The sequence below is a fragment of the Homo sapiens genome, chromosome 4, assembly GCF_000001405.40.
Source record: "Homo sapiens chromosome 4, GRCh38.p14 Primary Assembly".
NCBI lineage: Eukaryota > Metazoa > Chordata > Mammalia > Primates > Hominidae > Homo > Homo sapiens.
The window spans coordinates 39,175,627-39,200,517 of record NC_000004.12 but is presented as its reverse complement, the minus strand read 5'-3'; the positions used below and the strand labels follow the sequence as shown (position 1 = coordinate 39,200,517).

The window sequence follows — 24,891 nt, the reverse complement described above, 5'->3', positions numbered from 1 at the left end:
TGTAAGGAACTGAACCCTGTCAACACCCATGTAAGTGAGCTTGGAGGCAGATTTTTCTCCCTATTGAGCCTTCACATGAAACTGCAGCCCTGTCTGACAACACGATTGCAGGCTTGTAGAGACTTTAAGGCAGAGACACCCAGATAAGCTGCATCTAAATTCCTCATCCACAAAACCATGAAATAGTAAGTGTTGTTTTAAGCTTCTACATTTTGATTAATGGTTAATTTGTTATGCAGCAATAGATTGGCTAATACAGAGCCATATTTCATATTCTTTCTATAGTATATAGCACAGTGCCATGTGCCTAGCAGGTATTCAAAGAATGTGTTAGTCAATATTGCTCTAGCAATACTAAATCATAAGCAGTAGTCCAAAGTGAAATTTTCCCATTGGCCACATTATGTAGCTACTGGCGATACAAATTCCCATAAGGAGGGAGCCTCTGAAAGAGCTAATCAATCTTGAGAAATGTGAATAGTAGAAACATTTAATCTTAAAATTAAATTCCATTAGGATTAGTTTAGAAGCAATTTATCAGTTAAAGGTATGAGCTTTAGAATTAGGCAGATTTGACTCTGAGTTCAAGATCTACCAGTTATTAACATTTGTATTATAAATACACATATATAAAATAAGAGTTATTTCACAAATACACTGTCTGACTAGAACCACAGAGCTGATAATCCATGTTAATACGGAAGGGAAATATACAAAGGAGGATATTTGGATAACATATTCATATCAAAGAAAAATGTTCTGACAATAAATAGAAAGGTTTTTGAAGTTATTGTGTATACACACACACACATATATACCTCACATATAGATTTTTAAAAATTGTATAGATTAGTTTGACAGACAAACTATTTATTTGGGGGGAAAGCTTGAATATATCAGACCAAAGAGACGTTACTGTATTACCTGTCTTATCGTGTCACCTTCCTGATTACTAACTGTAATCATTTTATCTTCACCACCTAAAGCAAGCAGATTTTCTGCATTCCAACATCCACAAGTGATTCTCTTAGTATGTTTTCCTGAAAAAGAGATTATTTTTATACAGACATGTGGATTTCTCAAAGAAAAAAATCTGTGATGCCAATCTGAATATAGCAAGAAATTAAACAGACAAGAATTTAGAATTTCATCAAAGCAGTTAATGTCTACGCAACCTTATTTAAAACAGTTTATTACCAAGGTATAAAATAATGGCATATAAAGGCATTACTGTTTTCCAAATTTTTATCTGGATATAAGCCCTAATGTAAAAAGATATTCTGCTCCTTGACAAGATTTCTTCGTTTATCATATAACCAAACCTGCAAAGATAATGTCTTTTTTTCTTTTTTGAGACAGATTCTGGCTCTGTCATCCAGGCTAGAGTGCAGTGGTGTGATCTCAGCTCACTGCAACCTCTGCTTCCCAGGCTCAAGCCATCCTCCCAACTCAGGTCCCAAGTAGCTGGGACTATAGGCACATGCCACCACACCCAGCTAATTCTTTTTTTTTTTTTTTTTGAGACAGAGTCTCACTCTCTTGCCCAGGCTGGAGTACAGTGGCGTGATCTTGGCTCATTGCAACCTTTGCCTCCCAGGTTCAAGCAATTCTTCCGCCTCAGCCTCCCAAGTAGCTGGGACTACAGGCGAGCCACCACACCCAACTAATTTTTATATTTTTAGTAGAGACAGGGTTTCACCATGTTGGCCAGGCTGGTCTTGAACTCCTGACCTCAGGTGATCCACCTGCCTTGGCCTCCCAAAGTGGTGGGATTACAGGCGTGAGCCACCGCACCTGGCCATTTTTGTATTTTTTGTAGAGATGTGGTTTCACTTTGTTGCTCAAGTTGGTCTCCAACTCCTGAGCTCAAGCGATGCACCTGTCTTGGCCTCCCAGAGTGCTGGGATTACAGGCGCGAGTCACCGTGCCTGGCTCCAAAGTTAATGTCTTTTTTTTTGAGACGGAGTCTCGCTCTGTCGCCCAGGCTGGAGTGCAGCGGCGCGATCTTGGCTCACTGCAAGCTCCACCTCCCGGGTTCATGCCATTCTCCTGCCTCAGCCTCCCCAGTAGCAGGGACTACAGGCGTCCGCCACCATGCCTGGCTAATTTTTTTTTGTATTTTTAGTAGAGATGGGGTTTCACCATGTTAGCCAGGATAGTCTCAATCTCCTGACCTTGTTATCCGCCCGCCTCGGCCTCCCAAAGTGCTGGGATTACAGGCGTGAGCCACCACTCCCGGCCGTTAATGTCTTAAGAGAAGTAAATTCCAGAGCAGTGAAGTTAACTTTACTTATATTCAGCTTCATGGTGTGGTATACCTTTGACATAAGCAGATTTAACATTCACTGTTTAACTGTTCAGGTATAACTAAAAGAGGCCAGGCACAGTGGCTCATGCCTATAATCCCAGCACTTTGGGAAGCTGAGGTGGGAGGATTGCATGAGCCCAGGAGTTCAAGACCAGCCTAGGCAACATAGTGAGACTTCATCTCTACAAAAATTAAAGAAAAAAAATTAGCCAAGTCTGGTGCACACACCTGTAGTCCCAGCTACTCGGGAAGCTGAGGTGGGAGGATCCCTTGAGCCTGGGAGATTGAGGCTGCAGTGCGCCGTAATCCCACCACTGCACTCTGGCCTGGGTGACAGAGCAAGACCTTATCTCTCAGAAAAACAAAAACAGTAACAACTAAAAGATATATAATAATTTATGATAATACTGATGTACCTGTTTGAATGCACCTCAGTAAGACTTGTGTTAAGAACTGTGTAACTATGCTAATGAGTAACATCAGATAGCCACTAACTATTGGGAAGCTTTTTCATTGAGCTTTCCAGTCAGTGCAAAAACTATATATTTTTTTTTTCAGGGAAATCACATGCTTGACACTATGGGTATTTCTGAAGGTCTTGGGATAGATAAATCCTCAAGAGTCCCAAGGGTAATTCTACTAATGAGAAGAATAGTTAAGTGTATAGATTCTGGAGCCAGACTGCCTAGCTTTGAATCTTAGCTCCACTACCTACTGAAAAAACCTTGCGTAAGTTACTTAACCTTTTCTTTTCTTTTTCTTTCTTTTTTTTTTTTTTTTTTTTGAGATAGAGTCTTGCTCTGTTTCCCAGGCTGGAGTGCAGTGGTGTAATCTCAGCTCACTGCAGCTTCTGCCTCCTGGGTTCAAGCAATTCTCCTGCCTCAGCCTCCCAAGTAGCTGGGATTACAGGAGCCCACTACCACACCTGGTTAATTTTTTTGTATTTTTTGTAGAGACGGGGTTTCACCATGTTGGCTGGTTTCGAACTCCTGACCTCAAGTGACCCGCCTGCCTCGGCCTTCCAAAATGCTGGAATTACAGGGATGAGCCACCATGCCCAGCCAACCTTTCTATTCCTTACTCACTTCATCCATAAATTGGGAATAATAGTAGGACCTCTCATAGGGTTGAGGATCAATTGAATTAAAGCACTGACCAAAGTGCAAGGTACATATGAAATGCTATCACAGTGTCAGCTATTTTAGCTGTTACTGAGAGCAGAGACCACATTCATTTTATTCTTCGTACCCTCAAAGAATCTAATACAGTACCTATGCAGAAAGCAGGTATTAAATGAATGCTTTAAGTGAGTAGACCCCAAGGCAGGAGTTTGCCTAGTGTGTTAGAGGCTCAGCAAGGACAATGTGGTTGGAGCAGACAAATGAGGAGGGAAGAACATGAGATGAGGTCAGAGAGGTTGCGAAGGCCAGATTATGGAAAATTTGTTCTGGCCATTTTAAGGCCTTTTGCTTTTATCCTGGGTGAGACAGAAACCATTGAAGAGTTCTGAGCAGAGGGCTCATTCTGGCCTCTGGGTTGAGAAGATTCTAGAGTGGGGCAAGAGTTGAAATGGAGAGGCCAGTAAAGAGGAGACTGCAGAAATTAAGGTAGAAAATGTCTGAGACCACACCATGGTGGCAGCAGTAGAGATGGTGAGACCGGCTGGATTCTGGAGATATTTGGAGGTTGAGTCTGTAAGATTTTCTGACAAATTAGTTATGGAGAGTATGAGAAAGAAAAGAGTCAAGGATGGCCCTAAACATTGGCCTAACAATTTGGAAGAATGGAATGCCAACAATGGTGGAAGGCAAAGCTGTGAGTCAAGAAGGTTTTGGAGATACTAAATTTGAAGTGTATACTAGACACCTCACTGAAGATGTTGAGTAAGCGTTGGAGGTATGAGTCTACAGTGTGGAAAAGATATAAATTTGGGAGTTTTCAGGATATAGACAGTATTTCATATCAGGAGACCAGAACACAAAAGTGAAGGAAATATTCAGAGAAGAGACTGGGGCTACAGAGATTTTGCTGATCATAGATTAAGGGACTTGGGTGTTAAATGGAACTGGGTGTCCAAAGAAACAGGCATTAGGAAGGGGAAAAGACTATACAATGACAAGTAGGAAGATGCCAAAGACATCTTTCTATACCCAAGAAAGGGAGAAGAAAATCTCTTCTTCCTCCTCCTCCTTATATACCTCAAAGCCCTTTTGCTTCCAGTGCTCAGAAATCAAGTTAGTCTTAACACCAATAATAACAGTTAATAGACAAACTAATTTAAAGTTGATATTTGTAACTTAAAAAAATTTAGTTTAACTTTTCAAATAGTTCAATGACATTAATGTTTAGCTATAGCACCCAAAATTAATGTTAACATTAAAGAGATACATATATGTAAAACTAATTTGAAATGATCGTCTTGAATGGAAGGGCACTTTCTCAAGTATCTGTGGGTGCCATGATCTCCAGAGTGTAATTCCTTTATTAGCAGTAAGTTATACTTTTCCTGGCCACCTGGATGCAATTAAGCCCACTAGGTTCTACCATTCATCACAATGATGTTACAATAATTGACAAGAATAGATGTTTCTTCTTGGCTATTCAGAGGGCAGATGCCAAGTGACCAGAGGTTGGGGGAATCAAAGAGCCAAAACAAGAAGGTCAAACAAGGAGGGACATAAAAACACCCTCTGGCTGCATATCCTGAGGCAAATGGAACTCATAGTCCACATCTAGATTTAACTAGGATTTGGAGAAGGTGAGGGGTCAGAATTAGAAATCTTGCTTCTATCCAAGCAGTAAATGTTTTTTTTTGTTTGTTTGTTTTTTTGTTTTTTTTTTTTGAGATGAAGTCTCACTCTGTCACCCAGGCTGCAGTGCAGTGGCGCGATCTCTGCTCACTGCAACATCCACCCTCCGAGTTCAAGTGATTCTCCTGCCTCAGCCTCCCGAGTAGCTGGGATTACAGGCGGCTGCCACTGTGCCCGGCTAATTTTTTGTATTTTTAGTAGAGATGGGGTTTCACTATCTTGGCCAGGCTGGTCTTGAACTCCTGACCTCGTGATCCACCCATCTTGGCCTCCCAAAGTGCTGGGATTACAGGCGTGAGCCACCACGGACTCAAGCAGTAAATGTTTTAATCTACCATGTGGACTAAAATTACCACATATTATAATGCAACTAAATTAACTAAAATTAATAACAAAAATAGCACATATTATCAAAATGTGTTCATATGTGTATGAGCTATTCCTCGTCCAGAGGTACAGTCTGGGTGGGAAAGGACAAATGGAAGCCATGCTGTTAATGTCCTGATGCGAAAGGCACAGCCTGACTTTAACTCAATCTATTCTATGTACCCTGGCAAGTTCTTAGTAAGCAGTGAACAGGGATCTTCATGTTTAGCTAAATGTAAGACTTGCGGAGGGACATGGGGAGGGGGTTTGTACTGCAAAATTTCCATTGCAAGATCAGGGAAACCTGAGGCGGCAGAATTTACATTGAGGTAGAGCATCTCAAATATTTAGCAGTGTTTCCAGCTATCACCTACCAAGGACAGGAATCTTTCGAGATGTCTGATGATTATAAATAAGCAAATTTCCTTTAACAGTTCCAACAGCCAGGAAACTTCCAACTTTTGACCAAAGAAGGAAAGACATTTGATCCCTGTAACATTAAGATATAAATTACTAAACAATTCACGATCATAACCTCTAAACAGTCCTTTAAAAAAGTACTCCTTGGATAATTTTAACATCTACTTAGAAGCCAAAGTACAAAATACAACTTAATGCTTTAGGACAAAGACTAAATGCTAAAGATATTTTGGAGATGCTACAGAATGATCTTAGGGTCAGTTAGACTCAAAATACAAAAGTATAATGAATGTAGACTTCAGTTATGATGGAACCTCAAAATTCATGAGATGACCTATGATGAGATATTTATTAATTTGTCTATTAATGATAGTTTTAGCTCTAAATGTGATTACAAAAATATTAATGGATGGTGAAACCTCATACTTTAAAAAAGTGGCACCCAATAACATATTAAATGGTAAAAATCATTGGGAATTCATGACTTTAAAAATGATATATCTTTTCCAGCTCCGTCACCATTAAGAGTAGCTCAAAAGCAGGTAGAAAACACTTTTGCCCACCACCAGTTCTGACATGCATTCTACGATTCATGAGGTTGAAGTGTTATACAATTCCCTACTAAGGGGAAGCAGAACTTCTTGGAGAGTACCTCTTTCCATATATTGAGAAAAGAAATCACAATGAGTCAAGAACAGTGGTTCTCAAAATTTGAAATCAGAACCAGCAGCATCATCTGGGAACTTGTGAGAAATGCCAGTTCTCAGATCCCAGCCCAGACATACTGACCGAGCAACTCTGAAAGTGGCACCCAGCTACCTGTGTTTTCATAAGCCCTCCAGGGGATTCTGATGCAGCTAAACTTTCAGCACCGCTGACAGACCATGGTATGGTTTTCAGAAAGCAGCACTGCTTCCAAGAATGTTGAGGGCAGTGATAAAAGGACAAAAGAGTAAGTTTAAAGAGGTTTCCTCTGGCTAAATTAGGAGAATTTGAGGATTAAAAATTACATACTTATTTGATACAAGTTGAGTTTGTGAAAGGTCGTAAAATCATGATGTTACTTGGAAGAGAAAAAATAATTTAAAGTATGTGGAAAAATTAGTTGTAATAATAGAAGCATATAATAAAATGCTTAGTTAAAAAATTAATTTTAGGCTGGGCATGGTGACTCACGCCTGTAACCCCAGCACTTTGGGAGGCCGAGGTGGACAGATCACAAGATCAGGAGTTCGAGACCAGCCTGGCCATTATGGTGAACCCGTCTCTACTAAAAATACAAAAATTAGCTGGGTGAGGTGGCATGCACCTGTAGTCCCAGCTACTCAGGAGGCTTAGGCAGAAGAATCGCTTGAACCCGGGAGGCGGAGGTTGCAGTGAGCCAAGATTGCGCCACTGCACTCCAACCTGGGCGACACAGTGAGACTCTGTCTCAAAAAAAAAAAAAAGAAAAGAAAAAAAATTAAATTTAGCAAGTAAGGGAGTAGTAACATACCAGGCTGCTAGGTTCTTCTATTAAGTATCTATTTTACAAAAGATAAATACGCATTTTAATCTTTTTTTCCTTTTTTAAAATAAATGCTGTAGCCGCAATAATGTGCCTCTCAGATTTCCCTCCGTTTGCAGAAAGTGTAACTGCCCATGAGCCCCAGCTGCTAGGCTTTGGAATCCATCACCTCAATGAGCTGGGCTGTGCTTTCTCATGGGCTGTTCCCAGACAATGACTGAGTGAGGGAGGGATAACTGCTGGGCCCATTCCTGGGCAGAACTCCTTTGACAGGTAACTTTTGCCCAAAGACTCCCCACAGACCTAGCTGAACTTTCTTAATTAGAACTGTGCTACAATTTAATGGGCTGGGCACGGTGGCTCACGCCTATAATCCTAGCACTTTGGGAGGCTCAGGTGGGCAGATCATCTGAGGTCAGGAGTTCGAGACCAGCCTGGCCAAGATGGTGGAACCCCATCTCTACTAAAAATACAAAATTTAGCTGGGCGTGGTGGTGGGCACCGAGCTACTTGGGAGGCTGAGGCAGGAGAATCGCTTTGACCCGGGAGGTAGAGGTTGCAGTGAGCCAAGATCAAGCCACTGCACTCCAGCCTGGGCAAAAGAGGGAGCCTCCGTTCCAAACAAACAAACAAACAAACAAAAAACAACTGTGCTACAATTTAAGACACTTCTTCCCAACCTTACTTCTTTCCCTCTCTCATTTATAAGGGTCAGACATGCACTGAGGTCTAACAGCTCTTCCAATCTCTTCTAACCTCTCTATGTTCCCTCATAGGCATTTCCTGTAAGAAATCTCTTACACAGTTAATCCTGTCTTGGAGACTCCTTCAAAGAAAATATGAATAAAAATAATTTTGCATGAGCTAAAAATAGTATCAGAGAAAACTGTATAACAAGAACAAGATCTGATCAGCAACAGTGATCATATATAATAAGATAAATATAACATTAGTCCATTCAATAGTTTATCAGCACTGACAGTTACTCAACAACCAACTAGAAAGAAAGTGTTAAATAATGTGTTCTAAGAAGATCAAGTAATCAAATGTTCTCAAAAGAAGAGCTAACTGAACAGACTCCATCCCTATTCTCTTAGGATATAAGGCCCGTAGAAACCCTTGCAAATTACAATATGATACTAAAGCATATGTAAATTTCCAATAATGCCATTGGATCAGGACAACATATAACAATTACATGTATCTCTGGCCAAGCAAAATTTAAAGAATATATCATGCTAGGGAAATGTACAGGTTACAAAAAATTGCAACCTATGTATAAGGCATGGGCTTAAAAGAATTTTACTAATACGACAACTCAAGGTCAATTTAAAAAGACACTGAGTAGGATACCTAGTACTCAGGTCCAAATTGCCTTGGGAGAAGCAACCATGTTCTGTGATCCATCCAAGAATGAACTGGTTGATGAAGCAGATGTTATGTATAGGGTTTTCTCTGGAAAGAAATGGCTATATCCCAGTTACATAATTAAATGACTACTTCTGTTAGGCCTAGGCAGGAGCAGAGTAAATACCGCTATAATTCTAAAAGAGTATAAATGCATACATAGCAAAAATAAATGAATTCAGCTCATTGAATTAATATATTTTTAGTTAAGTGGCACCACAGTAAGTTTTGTGATAATTACATTTGGATAGGTTTTGGGTACTATTTCAGGTGTTTGAAGTGCTCAAAAGACTCACTTCAGATAAATTTTATAAAACCTAAATTGCTTAAAAGCATTTATTTACTAAGGAATAACAACCCAGAGGAAGCAAGGTGGTCATGTACAACAGGACCTTCTTAAATAAAAATACTTAAGAAAAATTGATATTCCAAGTTTTGTTTAATAACTAGCTAGTGTAACAGATTGACCTTTGAATAAAGAACAAACAGTGGGTATGCTTTTGTATATACAAAAGTCCTTTAGACATTAAATATAAACATCAACAGTAAAGCAACCTTAATTTTATTTTAATGACAATTACGATAACATCTACCATTTACTTGGGTCTTAATTTTATGCCTGGCCATGACATATATTTAAACATCACAACAATCCTGAGATGATGTGGAGAAACAGACACTGTGGGAAGACAGAGAGCTGGAGGCAGAGATAGACCAGTTAGAAACACCAGGGGATTAATTATGCACTTTGCTCTGAGTGAGAACATGGCCTTACTGTTGCTGAATTTGGCTCAAGAACCAGTACTTGAAGTTTATTAAACTTTCCCTTGAATGGAAGCACAGAGAGTATATAAAATCTTTCTGAAAAGTGATGTAAACCCAAAGTGTAAGAGGACAGAGCAAGAAATGAAGGTTCTTAGACTCAGGAAGACTTTACATTGGTAGACAGTATCTTCTGCAGCTACTTGCCTCAACGGTCACTTTGGAGGGTCAAAGGCACTACACTCACTAGGTTGTATCTGATCCTGCGCTACATGACTGCCTTGCTTTCTCTGGGTTCAGTTATTCCTTAGTAAATAACTTGAAAACTTATAGTCTGGTCTCATAGCGTGTATATGATCTCTTCCTCCCCACATGAGGGGTACATGAAGCCATGAAGCATGTTATACCCATGTCATACAGATGAAGAAATTGAGGCTTGGAGAGGGGTTAAGCAATTTGTCCAAGGTCAAAATGGCAAAGTTTTAGTTGGAAATGCTGACAAGTTTTTCTTTTCCATATTGGAAACTGGTTTCTCTTTTAGCAGATATCTGTCATTTATTCTGTCTGCCCAAGATTTTTTTCCATTTGGGAACTGCCCTGCCCTTTGCTCTTCCTTTCACTTGGTGGGAGTACCAATCCATGGCCCTGCCTACTCCACTCAGAGACCTGCTGAGGAACTGAATGGGCTCTGGTGATGTCAAGGCACATGCTCTTTTCTCTGGCATGACTTGCTGTGAAGAATGATACATACTGATAGCTACCAGTAGTCGTGGGTGAGAATCTGATTTAGAATAAAGTCAATATAGAGAAAAGAGGAGCTGAGAGATGGAGAAAAAGTCTTGATTGCACCATTATAACTCCTAGATCTAGCCATGCCTATGGTCAAGCCCATCTCTGGATTTTCCCATATATATTTTGTCTCATCTCTGCACTTCTTAGTCTGTTCCACTGAAAGCAACTTTTTAAGAAGCTATTTATAATTCACAGTTATAACAATTTCATTCTAATTGGGTAACAATAATAAAAATAATCCTTTTCTATGAAAATAACTCATTGAGGAATCTTTAAAATGAAAGTAGTAAAGAATTGTTAGCACCAAACCTACAAATATTCATGTTTCTAAGTGAAGCTTTAAAAAATTAAAAAGTTATCTTACCTCATGCCATTGTCTAACTGGCTGGTCTTATTTGTGTTGGCATCCCAAAGATAAATGCAGCTAGATTTCTCAGCAATCACTGCTAGGACATCTCCATCTTTATCCCAATCCATGGCAACACAGTTACTTTTAAAAAAGAGAGCAAAATACCACTATACAGTTTTTTAAAGTAAAATTACTATTTGTGATTTTTGTCTATAACAAGATTATTCAATCTATTTTGAACAGATAATAAACTCTCTAAAGTGAGAAATACAACTCATTATTCACTGCATGGGTAATGTTAACTTCAATTTTTTTGCTGTGGTTGAGGGGACGGTAAAATTTAAAATTTTACTTTTAATACCATTTTCATATACTACATTAAATATAATCATACTTAAGTTAGCAGATTTTCTTCAGTCCTATAAAGAACCCTGCCTTTTGATAAAACAAACTCGCCACGCACCTTTACAAATGAATCACATCTGGAATCGAGACATAATTTGTATGATCAACTTTTGAAAGATTATTTTAGATTGACAGAGAGGACAAGAAGGTATTGATAAGAAACAAAGTGGCTGGGCGCAGTGGCTTACACCTGTAATCCCAGCACTTTGGGAGGCCGAGGCAAGCGGATCACCTGAGGTCAGGAGTTCGGGACCAGCTTGACCAACATGGAGAAACCCCGTCTCTACTAAAAAATACAAAAATTAGCTGGGCATGGTGGTGCATGCCTGTAATCCCAGCTACTTGGGAGGCTGAGGCAGGAGAATCGCTTGAACCTGGGAGGCAGAGGTTGCAGTAAGCCAAGATCGCGCCACTGCACTCCAGCCTGAGCAACATGGCAAGGTCCCATCTCTACCAAAAAAAAAAGAAAAAAAAATGAGCTGGGCGTGGTGGCATGCACATGCTACTCAGCTACTCAGGAGGCTGAAGTGGGAAGATTACTTGAGCCCGGGAGGTAAAGGCTGCAGTGAGCCATGTTTGTGTCACTGTACTCCAGCTTGGGAAACACAGAGAGACCCTGTTTCAAAAAAAGAAAAGCAGCAAAGTTATAGCTAGATAAATTGAGTGATTGGGTAGATATAGGATTGTAAAAAAGGGAAAGATAGAATTCTAAAGTGGTGAATAAGAAATGTTATTTTCTTTTCTTTCTTTCTTTTCTTTTTTTTTTTTTTTTTGAGACAAGGTCTGGCTCTGCCGCCCAGGCTGGAGTGCGGTGGTGCGATTATACTTGGCTATAACCTCACACTCCTGGGCTCAAATGATTATAGTTCACTATAACCTCGAATTCCAGGGCTTAAGCGATCCTCTGCCTCAGTCTCCTAAAGTACTGGGATTACAGGTGTGAGCCCCTGTGCCTGGTCATTATTTTCATTTTATATCTTGATGGAAAATAACGAGAGTAATTTGATTAAGGTAACAACATAGTTATAAACAGGAAATGGTCTATTTAACATGATTCTTGCTATTATTCCAAAATGTATATTATAAAAAACTTTACAATTTCTTAAATCCTTAATAAAAATATTTACCTTTTCTTTTCTGATGTTATTTTTCATCTTGGTATTAAATATATTTTTCATCTTGGTATTAAATATTTTTCATCTTGGTATTACATATATTTTTCATCTTGGTATTAAATAACCAAATGTGTATTATAAAAAACTTTACAATTTCTTAAACTCTTAATAAAAATATTTACCTTTTCTTCTCTGATGTTATTTTTCATTCTTGGGTATTAAATAACCCATACTTTGATTTATATTTAAGACAGTTGGGAATTACTTCAATTATTTTATTTTTCAAAATGTTGAAATATGTTTTAGGATCTTCATTTTCTAAAGTATATTCAGAGATTTGGGGAGTATGGAAGAGGGAAGCTTTCAAATTATTGACAAAATCATCTGCTAATTAAAGATTGTGTATTTAACAGCATTTTCCTTATCTGGAGATCCTCTGTCAGTCAAATTCCACTATTATGAATACAGCAAAACAATACAGAAGAAATGAGACCATTATGTAACAGAAATAGATGTCACAGAGATCACACAATAAAGCTCACGCAATTTACTCCAAGACAATTTTTACTGAGTGCCTTCTTTCACTTCACATATAATTATAGCTTCTTTGATCTGTTTCCAGGAATACAGAAACCAGAAGCCACAATTAAGAGAGTTAATGGAAAATGCCAAAATGATAGCATTAGGTGGGTGGGGCAGGGCAGGAGGTAGGAAAGGCTGTTAGAGACCAAGAGAAGTAAAACCTAATTTTCAAAAATGGTCAATAAACTACAGAAAGAAACATGAATTTTAAAAGCACAGCAGCATAAGTCAGTTTAGGTGAGGGACTCTATACATCTTTTTTTTTTTTTTTTTTTGAGATGGAGTCTCGTTCTGTCACCCAGGCTGGAGTACAGTAGCGCAATCTCGGCTCACTGCAACCTCCACCTTCCGGGTTCAAGTGATTCTCCTGCCTCAGCCTCCCAAGTAGCTGGGACTACAGGCGCATGCCACCACGCCCAGCTACTTTTTTGTATTTTTAGTGGAGACGAGGTTTGACCGTGTTAGCCAGGATGGTCTCCATCTCCTGACCTCATGATCCACCTGCCTCGGCCTCCCAAAGTGCTGGGATTACAGGCATGAGCCACCACACACAGCCTTTATACATCTTAATAACCACTGAGACCATCAGTAGAATAACTAATATAGGTAGTGATTACACTGAATCATTAAAAATGCTTCAATTATGCTTAGTATAATGTAGAATGATTTCCTGAAAATGGATAAAGCCTTCACCCTTTACAAAGTTATGTGGAAAGTCACTATTTTCCAACAATTTATTAGAGATGGAAAACTAAAGTAGATACAGGTTTATCTTATCTGCCTATACAAACACTAAGACTTGTTTATAATTTAAAAGAATTGTTTCGTGTGGACTCTAATTCTTTCACACGGTCTGATTTATAATCCTGCCGTAAGGCTTCTCTGTGAGTATATGGGTGTTTATAGATAGAAACTCTAATTCATGCTATATCTCTACATATTTCATAACTACTTATGGCTAAAAAAACAAATCCCTTTGCAAATGGAAGAAGCAAAAGATTCCATCTGATTATAATTTTAAGGCAGTATTTTTTTAATCTTTTAGGCAACAAAACTTGACAGGTTTTTTTAAATCTACTTCTGTACTTACCCAGGTAAGTTAATTTCACTTCTTTTTTGACCATGGCGATCAAAGATTTTCACAATATAATCAGCTCTGAAAGCAATCAGAACATAAAGATATGATTTACTTTTTTTTTTTTTTTTTTTTTTTTTTGAGACAGAGTCTCCCTCTGTTGCCCAGGCTGGAGTGCAGTGGTGTGATCTTGGCTCACTGCAACCTCCACCTCCCAGGTTCAAGCGATTCCCCTGCCTCAGTCTCCTAAGTAGCTGGGATTACAGATGCCTGCCACCATACCTGGCTAATTTTTGTATTTTTGTAGAGATGGCGTTTCACCATGTTGGCCAGGCTGGTCTCAAACTCCTGGCCTCAAGTGATCTGCCTGCCTTGGCCTCCCAAAGTGTTGGGATTATTGGCATGAGCCACTGCACCTGGCCTAAATGTTTCTTTCATTTATCTATGTATATAAAGCTGCCATCCAAATGATTTCAGTGTTTTCTCCTGATAGTTTCAGAATTTGCATAAAAAGTTATTACCAGGGAAAAGGTTCTATGAACTTTCATGTTAATGGAGATGAATATATTCCTTTTCCTGTCATATAACTGTTAGACAAAAACTTTTACTGAGGCCAGGTTCACTTGAACCTGGGAGGCGGAGGTTGCAGCAAGCTGAGATCGTGCCACTGCACTCCATCCTGGGCAACAAAGCTAGACTCCATTTAAAAAAAAAAAACAACAACAAAAAAAACTTCTACTGAGTAGATGGTGTGATTACATGGGCATGCAACCACTGCTTAAAACATTCATTGGTTTCTTACCCTGTTACTGCAAGGTAGTTTCCTGATGTTTTTTGCCAGGCAAACTGTATTGGTGCGCCAAGCCAAGTCTTTTCTAGCAGTGAGAAAATACGCTAAAAAATAAACACAATTTTTAATATTTTCAAAACATACAATCAAGTGTTGATCAGAAAAGGTATCAAAACATGGTCATGAAAACCATGTTTTCATAGGATTCAGGATAGTGAGGATTATGTTAGAGCTTATCTAGAAGTTAACAACAAAAGAAATAAAACAAAATCAACCAACCAACTAAACATACACAACTACTTGGTAAATTACAGATCTCAAGATATAGGAGGGCTTTTATTTTAAATTTTTTTTGGCTTTTTAATGTTTCTGAATGTTAATTTTACAAAAATATGTAATTTTAGTGTTTTGTAGATGTTAAAGACTAAAATAATTGAAGCCTGAATTCAGTTAATTATCTGTGGCACGGATTCCTGGTGATTAAACTGAACAAAAATTGCTATCTTAAACATGATAAAAACACAAAATGTCTTTACTCCTTTCAACATTATTTTCTTCTATTAGTTCCATTAGTTATATTTACATCATCATTAAGTGTTTAACTTGGCTACTGGGTGAATAGTGTTATCAACTGAAAACTCTTTCTTTTCCTTGAAACAATCAAGAAACGTGATGTCCAATATGGAGGCTACAAACCACATGTAGCTATTGAGGACTTGGAATATAAGTAATCCCAACCTAGCTGTGCTGTAAATATAAAATGTATATCAGATTTCAACAACTGGAAAAAGAATGTAAACTATCTCGTTGTTAATTTTTATATTGATTACATGTTGAAATAACATTTTTGATATACTGGGTAAGATAAAATATATTATTAAAATAAATTTTACCTGTTTTCTTAAAAAATTTTAATGGTCAATAAAAATATGAAATTACATTAGCTCACAGTACATTTATATCAGACAGTGTTGATCTAGAACATTTAGGAATATGAGTTTCAGTGAAAAAATTTAGATTTCAATATTAGGTTAAATTATAGATTAAACAATGATGCCCATTTCTAGGCATATGAAATTTAGATACTGTTACACGGGACTTAGTCTGTGCGGCAACACAAAACTCTTACAATGCTCAAAATTAAACACCGCCTGGCCAACATGGCGAAACCTCGTCTCTACTAAAATTACCAAAAAATGAGCTGGGCATGGTGGCGCTTGCTGTAATCCCATCTACTTGGGAGGCTGAGGCACGAGAATCCCTTGAACCCGGGAGGTGGAGGTTGCAGTGAGCCGAGATGGTGCCACTGCACTCCAGCCTGGGTGACAGAGCAAGACTTCGTCTCAAAATAAATAAATTAACAACCAACAACCAAACACAAAGCAGTGAGGTTGTTTATTTTTATTTTTATTTTTTTTTAGACAGCGTCTTGCTCTGTCGCCCAGGCTCTGGAGTGCAGTGGGGCGATCTTGGCTCACTGCAACCTCCGCCTCCTGGGTTCAAGCGATTCTCCTGCCTCAGCCTCCCGAATAGCTGGGATTACAGGCACACGCTACCACGCCCGGCTAATTTTAAAAATATTTTTGGTAGAGACAGGGTTTCACCATGTTGGCCAGGCTGGTGTCGAACTCCTGACCTCAAGTGATCCACCTGCCTCGGCGTCCCAAAGTGCTGGGATTACAGGCGTGAGCCACCGCACCCTGTCCCAATGAGCATTTTACATGCTAAAGAAGAAATTCCCCTCTATTGAAAGTAGAGGTGGGCTATGATCATGGGACATAAAAGTTTTATAGAGCATAAAGAAACTCATGAAGAAAGAATATTTAAAAGCATCTTACTTTTGCAATTTTGTGACCATTTCACCCTGGAACTCCTTCATGCAAGTGAGAAGTCCTTAAACTTGAATTTCATTACCTTCAATGGCTGACTTGCCTCTAGCTGTGATTTCATATTATTTTTTTTCAGTGGAGCTCTATAGATGCTCCACATACCGTGCAGAGGAAAAACTGCTAGTTTCACAACCAAAAAACCAAGACTTAAATTTTGTTTGTAGCTTATTAGCTGTAGGGCTTTAAGTAAGTCGTTTAAATTGCCTCCAGCAAAAAATTCTCAACTGTAAATCATGAATAATAACTCTTCACTTCTAATATTTCATAAATTGTAAAGAGCTTTAGAAATAAAAATGGGAGTTATGATTACTGGTCCGTCAATTCCAATTTCCACACTAATAGCCACGAAGAAGCATGAGGACATCTAAAATAATTTTAAAATTGAGCCTTCCAGCCGGGCGCGGTGGCTCACGCCTGTAATCTCAGCACTTTGGGAGCCCGAGGTCGGGGGATCATGAGGTCAGGAGAGTGACAGCATCCTGGCTAACACGGTGAAACCCCATCTCTACTAAAAATACAAAAAATTAGCTGGGTGTGGTGGCACGCGCCTGTAGTCCCAGCTACTCGGGGGGCTGAGGCAGGAGAATCGCTTGAACCCAGGAGGTGGAGGTTGCAGGGAGCAGAGATTGCGCCACTGCACTCCAGCCTGGGTAACAGAGCGAGACTCAGTAAAAAAAAAAAAAAAAAAAAGCCTTCCATTTCTTTGCCAGAGCAGAGCAAGGGGGGACTGCTCTGATAAATCAGAAAGTGGGGTGAACAAGAAGCCCAAGCCTAGAAACCGTGCGTGCAGAGGATGAGGCACATGAGCGTGAGACCTGAGTTTTCGGGTGCAGATTTCCCGTCAATAATGTACACTCGCTAGCAGGTGATTGGACTGGTCACAGGTAATACATTTTGAAGTTATTCTTTAGGAGGCTTTTCATTCTTTTTAAGGCGCTGGGCAGCTGCGCGGCTTGCCAGAGGCTTAGCCCCAAGAAATGAGGTAGCTCGTGACATCGGACCCAGTCAACTTCACAGCGACCCTCCAAACGCGTTAACTCGACCAGTTCTTTCCGCGTGCGAAGCTGGGGTATCTTTAGATCCAGTCCGCTCATTTCGGCCAGGGAGGGGTTCCCACTTTCTGCACCGCTTCTACGGCGTCTGCAGTCCCCAAAACGAGAGGCCTCTCTCTCCGCCCTCTCCTCTCCTCCTATTTTCTTTCCTTTCTCTCGTCCCTTCAGCTTCGCCCCCGCTCTCTCTGGCCACCTCTCTCTCTCTCTCTCTTCCTCATTTCCAACGAACTCAGAAGGGAGAGGGACAGATATCCTCTTTTAAAAGCGACCAAGGGCCAGTAGTCGCGTTTTCCCGCCCCACCCCGGGAATTTGTAAGTTATTTACCTTCATCTCCACGCTCGAGCCGCTACGCGAACTATGAAGTACGCAGGCGCACCCGGTCTCCACCAAGCAGGCTACCGCGTTCCCGTCACCCAGGAGACCGCGCGAGCAGCGACCAATCAGCGAGTGCTAATTGAAAGGCGGTGCCTCGAGGGGCCGGGCCAAGCGCACCGCCCTCTGCGAGGGTGGGTGAGAGGCGGAGGGTGGAATCACATGACATCAGAGACGCTAACCCTGGGAAGTTGGGCGTCGCGAGGCCTTGCTGAGCCTCGGCTTCCTGGCTGGCTCTGATTGGATGAGATTCGTCCGGGAGAGACGGGCTCTGTGAGCCCTCAAAGGCGCGTGCGTAAATTTTGGACCGCGATGACTAAGATGTCAGTGCTGGCCAAAGGGGGCGCCGAGAAGCTGAAGGAAAGAAGACGCAGAATGTTAGATTAAAGGAGGCAGGATGGGCTAAATACTCCTATACAGTCCACGCAAAGAGGGGTTGGACGAGCTCGGGTATATCTTTTTTTCTTCCAGGTTTCTGGGGTAGAAGGGAGGAGGCATAAGAGGTACAATAGTTTATTTCAAGGTAGGGTTGTTGGTGCTTTTTTTTTTTCAGTTTCACCAAAATCTTTTTTTTTTTTCAATGTCAACAAAATGTGCTAGCTAACGTGGGCAGGAAAAATGAGCTCCAATAGTTTTCCTTTAGAGTTTGGATCTGGCAGCTTTTCCCCAAGTATAAAGCCCTGTTGTACAGTATTTGTGCTGCATTATTTATAGCATGAAAGTGCATCTTTTACCCAAGCGTCTGAAAGTGTTGAAACAGTCTACCTTTTGCTTTTCTTTTCGACATCAGGTAGGAATCTGATTGGCTTAGAGAAAGTTAATCAATGATTTGAAATAACTAATAATGAATGTTTGCAAATTCTTAAGTAGGGTGCTATGCCTTTGCACTGGGGTTTTCAGTTACGTTACGACAGGGGTCCGGATCCAGACCCCAAGAGAGGGTTCTTGGATCGCGCGCAAGAAAGAATTCAGGGCGAGTTCTCAGTGCTGAGAAAAGCAAGTTTATTAAAACACGTAAAGTGGTGAAAGGACAGCTACTCCATAGACAGAGTAGGACATTCCTGAAAGCAAGAGAAGGGACGCATCCACCCTAGGTACAATGCTTGTATATATGGGGAGATGTGCTCTGCTACAAGGGTTTGTGATCAAAGATTAATTTTCTTAATTATTTTGCAGGAATTGATATTATTATCTTTAAAGCAAAATTAGGAATGCCTTTGTTCTCCAGATATCCCGATATCTGGGTCTGTTTTAGTAAACATTATTAATTTATTCCCTTAATCGTAAACATCTAGAGGCGAGGAATGCCCAAATTCTGAGAATTCAGCCCAGCAAGTCTCAGCCTCATTTTCCTAGCCCTCACTCAAAATGGAATCGCTCTGGTTCAAACGCCTCTGACAGTTAGGTTAATTACTTAAATTTTTACTGAAAGATTCCTCTGCTGAAAGGGTAACCATTTAAAAATAGCCAGAGCAATCAGTTCTTAACAAGACCTGCCCTCAGGAGAAAGTATTTTTACCAAAGCCTAGTCTGCTGGGGTTTTATCAGAGCCTAAACTACCTGGGAGAAGGGAAATACTCAACTTCAGCCTCCATAAACCATCCTGTTCCACTTAAGTGTGGGAGATTAAGAAGTATTGGCGGGCGCCTGTAGTCCCAGCTACGCGGGAGGCTGAGGCCGGAGAACGGCGTGAACCCGGGAGGCGGAGCTTGCAGTGAGCGGAGATCGCGCCACTGCACTCCAGCCTGGGCGATAGAGCGAGACTCCGTCAAAAAAAACAGCAAAAAGAAGTATTGGTGGCCAGGCTCAGTGGCTCACGCCTGTAATCTCAGCACTTGGGGAGTTCGAGGTGGGGGGCTCACTTGAGGTCAGGAGTTCAGGACCAGCCTGGCCAACATGGTGAAACCCCGTCTTTACTAAAATACAAAAAATTAGCTGTGCATGGTGGTGGGCACCTGTAGTCCCAGCTGCTCGGGAGGCTGAGGCAGGGGAATCGCTTGAACCCGGGAGGGGGAGGTTGCAGTGAGCCTAGATCGTGCCACTGCACTCCAGCCTGGCGACAGAGCAAGGCAAGACTCTGCTCAAAAAAAAAAAAAAAAAAAAAAAATTAGCCTGGCGTGGTGGCACATGCCTGTAATCCCAGCTACTCGGGAGGCCGAGGCATGAGACTCGCTTGAACCTGGGAGGCAGAGGTTGCAATGAGCCGAGATTGTGCCACTGCACTCCAGCCTGGTGACGGAGCTAGACTTCGTCTCAAAAAAAAAAGGAAGTACTGGTGACTTTTACCATCCACACCGGCTCACTAAAGGCTGAGGCCTAATCATAGGACTATAGAACACTTGCCCTATCCTGTACCTTACCACATACCACTAAAAGACTACTTACAAGTATTCCTTTTATCCAGTATATCCTGTCTGGTGTCTTAGTTGTTTTCTGTTGTTTATGACAGAATACATAAAACCGGGTAATTTATAAAGAAAAGGAACTCATTTGTCATAGTTAGGGAGACTGAGAAGTCCAAGGTCAAGGGAGTGCATCTGGTGAGATCCTTCTTGCTGGTGCGGACTCTCTGAAGAGTCCTGAGGCAGCACAGGATATCACATGGCAAGGAGGCTGAGTGTGCTAACGTTCTAGCTAAGGTCTCCTTATAAAGCCACCAATTTCACTCCCATGATAACCCACTAATTCATTAACCCATTAATCCCTGAATCTTTGAATGAATTAATCCATTCATGAAAGCAGGGCACACAGGAACCATTTGCCTCTTAAAGGCCCCAACTTTCAATATTGCCACATTGGTGATTAAGTTTCAACATGAGCTTTGGAGGGGACATTCAAACCATAGCATCCAGATTTCAACAAAAAATTACAAGGCATACTAAAAGGCAAAAAACACTGCTTGAAGAGACTGAACAAGCAGGAGAACTAGAGTCATATATAGCAGGAGTGTTGAAATTATTAGACCAGGACTTTAAAAAAAAAATAAGATGAATGTGCTACTGGAGGTAATGGAAAAAGTAGACAACATGCAAGAGCAGATGGAAAACACAAGCAGAGAGATAGAAATTCTAATAAAGACTCAAAAAGAAATGCTAGAGATCAAAAACACTAACAGAAATGAAGAATGCTCATGATTAATTTCCCCCAAGTTCATGTCTGACAACAAATCACACCTCCTGGAAGCTCAGAGAACTCCAAACAGGATAAGTGCTCAATAAACCACACCTAGGCATATCATATTTAAACTTTGAAAAATAAAATATTTTTCAAAAATCGTGAAAGAAGCTGAGGGGAGGGGGGCATTATGTATAGAGGAGGTAAGATAAGAATTACATTGAATTCTCAGAAACCATGAAAGGAAGAAGAGAGCGGAATAAAATATTTAAAGTGTTGAGAATTTTTTTTAAACCCACAAATCTAGAATTCTGTATCCTGTAAAATTATCCTTCACAAGTGAAGGAGTCCACTCCTCATTGATTAGATGCCAAACTCAAAATGGCTAACTTTGGTGAAAGGATCTTGACCTGCCTTTTTTCAAACTGGAACTGTTCTTGCCATGCATTTTCCTCCTGACTCAACAGTAAAGCTACTTTAGTTCTAAGTGTTTTGATACCACAAGGATGTAGTGGTCAGTAATCAGATCAAGACTTGAAAAAAAGAGTATTTCATGTAAACATTATTTGGGGGTTACTCAAACAATACTAGTGATTTATGATTTAATGTAAAACACACACACACATTTTTACAGAAACACTATATGAGGATTCAAATCCCTGAATATCAGTAAATGGGATTGAGAAATATTTTTGTGTAAGGATGAGGAAGTTGATCCTGTACTATGAAGGAGGTACAGTTGTTTCATGTAGACTTAAAAATGTTTTAATGTGTTTCATGGCCAGGAGTAGCAGCTCAAGCCCGTAATCCCAGCACTTTGGGAGGCCAGAGGTGGGAGGTTCACTTGGGCCCAGGAATTTGAGAATGGCCTGGGCAACAAAGCAAGACCCCTTTGCTACAAAAAAAAATAAATAAATAAAAATTAGCCAGGCATGGTGGCATGTGCCTACAGTGCCAGCTACTTGGGAGGCTAAGCCAGGAGAATCCTTTGAGGGTATCACATGGCATTCAAGGCTGCACTGAGTTATGATCACGCCACTGTGCTCCAGCCTGGGTGACAGAGTGAAACCCTGTCTCAAAAAAAAAAAAGTGTTTTATGTTTTTTATACTGTTTTTAACTAAAGTTATAAAAATGTTTCCAACAAGTTATCTCTCCTTATGTTTTAAGAATCTAAATTATCTCAGTGAGTTGAAATAAGGGTGTTAGCAGCTTTCTAATTAGTATATAAATCTGTCCAAACAAGAGGACATCCTAGTACACAAAATAATGTCACTGTTTCAAACCAGTCTAGACCAAAAAAAATTAAAATTTTCAGAGTCAAAAATGAACATCTGAAGAGAAACTAATTCCTCCTTAAAAATAAAAGTATCTTCAAAATAGAAAAAAAAAATTCAGAATCGTTTCATAGTTTAATTGCAATATGTCACTAACAGATGGTGATTCTTCTCTTGGTAAAGATTTAAGTAAAAACTTTGATATAAAACCAAGGTAAAACATACAGTGTTCATGTAGATGTACACATGGTATTACATATAGACATTAAATTATACTTATCATTAAGCTAATTTTTAAATTAAAATCAAAGATTTTAAAAAGTGAAGAAGTAAAGACTTTCTTAGACAAAAAAAAAAAAATTTTGAGGGAATTTGTTGCTAGTAGACCTGCCTTGAACAAGAAATATTAAAAGAAGTTTTGTTTTTCTTTTAGAGAGAAAGAAAATGATATATGTCAGAAACTCAGATATCCGTAAAGAAAGAAAGCATTGGGAAAAGAATAAATGAAGGTATCATTAAGTATTTTTTCTAATATTTAATTGATTTAACAGGTAACAGTTCTGAATAAGAATAGCAACAATATATTCAATGACATGCTTATATATAAATATATGCTTATATGTAAGAGAAATTAATGATAACAATGATTTAAGGAATGGGAGGGAAGAAATAGAAATATTTTATTATAGGGTACTTACATTACCTGTGAAGTGGTAAAGTGTTATTTGACAGTGGACTTGGTAAATGTATATTGCTAAATATAGGGCAACTACTTAAAAAAGATTTTAGAAAAGTATAATTGATATGCTAAGAAAGGAGAGAAAATAGAATAATATAAAATGCTCAGTTAAAACCACAAAAGGCAGGTTAAAAAAGTGTAGAAGACAAAAATAAGAACGAAGAGCAAATAGAAATGAAACCATACAATGTCTGATCTCAATCCTTATGTATTTAAACTAGAAATCAATAACAGAAAAATTGCTGGAAAATCCCCAAATACTTGGAGATTAAACAATACACTTCTAGATAACACATGGATCAAAGAAGAAATCTCAAGGGAAATTTAAAATATTTTGAACTAAATAAAGTGAAAATACACTTGTTAAAATTTGTGGGATGTGGTGAAAGCAGTGCTTAGAGGGGATTTTTTTGTTTGTTTGTTTTTGTTTAGTTGTTTTTTTTTTTTTTTTTTTTTTTGCGTTGTGGTCTTGCTCTGAAGCCCAGGCTGGAGTGGGAATGCAGTGGCATAATTATACCTCACTGCAGCCTCAAACTGCTGGCTTCATGCTATACTCCCACCTTGGTCTCCCAACATGCTGGGATTACAGCCATAAGCCACCATGCCTGGGGAAGATAGAAATTTATAGCATCAAATGCATATTTTAGAAAAGAAGAAAGCTCTAAAAATCAATAATCTAAGTTTCCACTTTAGGAAACTAGAAAAAGAAAATTTAAATTTAAAGTAAGAAAAATAAAAGATATAATAAGAATTAGAGCAGAAATCAATAAAATTGAAAATAGGAAATCAATAGAGAAAGGAGACCAAAAGTTGGTTATTTGAAAAGAGCAAAATTGACTAGCCTCTAGCTAGGCTAAGAAGAAAAGAGAGAAGCTCAAAAATTACTAATGTCAGCTGTACTAATGAATTACTAATGAATAGCCTGTATCTATTTAAAAAATCAGATCAATAATTAATAATTTTCTAGGCTGGGTGCAGTGGCTCATGCTTGTAATCCCAGGACTTTGGGAGGCTGAGGCGGGCGGGTCACCTGAGGTCAGGAGTTAGAGACCAGCCTGGCCAACATGGTGAAACCCCGCCTCTACTAAAAGTACAAAAATTAGCCGTGCATGGTGGTAGGCGCCTGTAATCGCAGCTACTCGGGAGGCTGAGGCAGGAGAATCACTTGAACCTGGGAGGTGGAGGTTGCAGTGAGCCAAGATTGCACCACTGCACTCCAGCCTGGGTGACAAGAGCAAGATTTGGTCTCAAAATAAATAAATAAATAAAATAATAATAATAATAATTTTCTGAAAGAGAAAGCACCAGGTTCTGACAGGTTCACTCGTGAATTCTACCAAACATTTAAGGAAGAAATTATACCAATTCTCTATAGTCTCTTTCAGAAAATAGAACCTGAGTGAATACTTCATCACTCATTCTATAAGGCCAGAATTACACTAATGCCAAACCAAAACAAAGACATTACAAGAAAAGAAAACTATAGACCAATATCTCTCATGACCATAGATGCAAAAATTCTCAACAAAATGTTAGCAAATCAAATCCAGCAACATATAGAAAGAATTATACACCATAACCAAGTGGGATTTATTCTAGGCATACAAGGCTGGTTCCACATTGGAAAAACAATGAATATAATTCATCACATCAACAGGCTAAAGAAGAAAAGCTATGTTTGTAGACCAATAGATGCAGAAAAAAGCATTTGACAAAATCTAACATTAATTCATGATAAAAACTCTCAACAAATGAGGAATA

The 24,891-nt window shown here is 39.5% G+C and overlaps 1 protein-coding gene across 10 annotated transcripts in view, besides 5 other annotated features; it reads right to left on the bottom strand.

Annotated features, from left to right (window-relative positions):
• WDR19 (WD repeat domain 19) overlaps positions 1-17,989 on the bottom strand; it is a 103,282-nt gene extending 85,293 nt beyond the window's left edge. For 6 of the 10 annotated variants that reach the window (XM_011513724.2, NM_025132.4, XM_047416031.1 and 3 more), the window contains exons 1-6: positions 17,955-17,989; positions 14,701-14,792; positions 13,914-13,979; positions 10,737-10,862; positions 5,859-5,974; positions 925-1,040 (exon numbers count right to left, since the gene is read on the bottom strand). In XM_011513724.2, coding sequence (XP_011512026.1) covers positions 925-1,040; positions 5,859-5,974; positions 10,737-10,862; positions 13,914-13,979; positions 14,701-14,792; positions 17,955-17,960 — 522 coding nt within the window. In that variant the 5' untranslated portion in view covers positions 17,961-17,989. Of the gene's footprint in view, positions 1-924; positions 1,041-5,858; positions 5,975-10,736; positions 10,863-13,913; positions 13,980-14,700; positions 14,793-17,954 lie in introns of those variants that run through there. The other 4 variants (XM_011513725.3, XM_047416030.1, NM_001317924.2 and 1 more) reach the window with 3 other exon arrangements.
• Positions 16,951-17,020: an enhancer, noted in NCBI's record as "active region_21455". NCBI's record gives its function as "activates an Ori minimal core promoter by ATAC-STARR-seq in GM12878 lymphoblastoid cells {active_cell/tissue: GM12878}" and the evidence as "EXISTENCE:reporter gene assay evidence [ECO:0000049][PMID:35858748]".
• Positions 17,721-17,870: an enhancer, noted in NCBI's record as "active region_21454". NCBI's record gives its function as "activates an Ori minimal core promoter by ATAC-STARR-seq in GM12878 lymphoblastoid cells {active_cell/tissue: GM12878}" and the evidence as "EXISTENCE:reporter gene assay evidence [ECO:0000049][PMID:35858748]".
• Positions 17,995-18,289: an enhancer, noted in NCBI's record as "tiled region #13789; HepG2 Activating DNase unmatched - State 1:Tss, and K562 Activating DNase unmatched - State 1:Tss". NCBI's record gives its function as "activates a minimal TATA promoter and a strong SV40 promoter by Sharpr-MPRA in HepG2 and K562 cells {active_cell/tissue: HepG2 | K562}" and the evidence as "EXISTENCE:reporter gene assay evidence [ECO:0000049][PMID:27701403]".
• Positions 17,995-18,320: a biological region, named in NCBI's record as "Sharpr-MPRA regulatory region 13789".
• Positions 18,141-18,320: an enhancer, noted in NCBI's record as "active region_21453". NCBI's record gives its function as "activates an Ori minimal core promoter by ATAC-STARR-seq in GM12878 lymphoblastoid cells {active_cell/tissue: GM12878}" and the evidence as "EXISTENCE:reporter gene assay evidence [ECO:0000049][PMID:35858748]".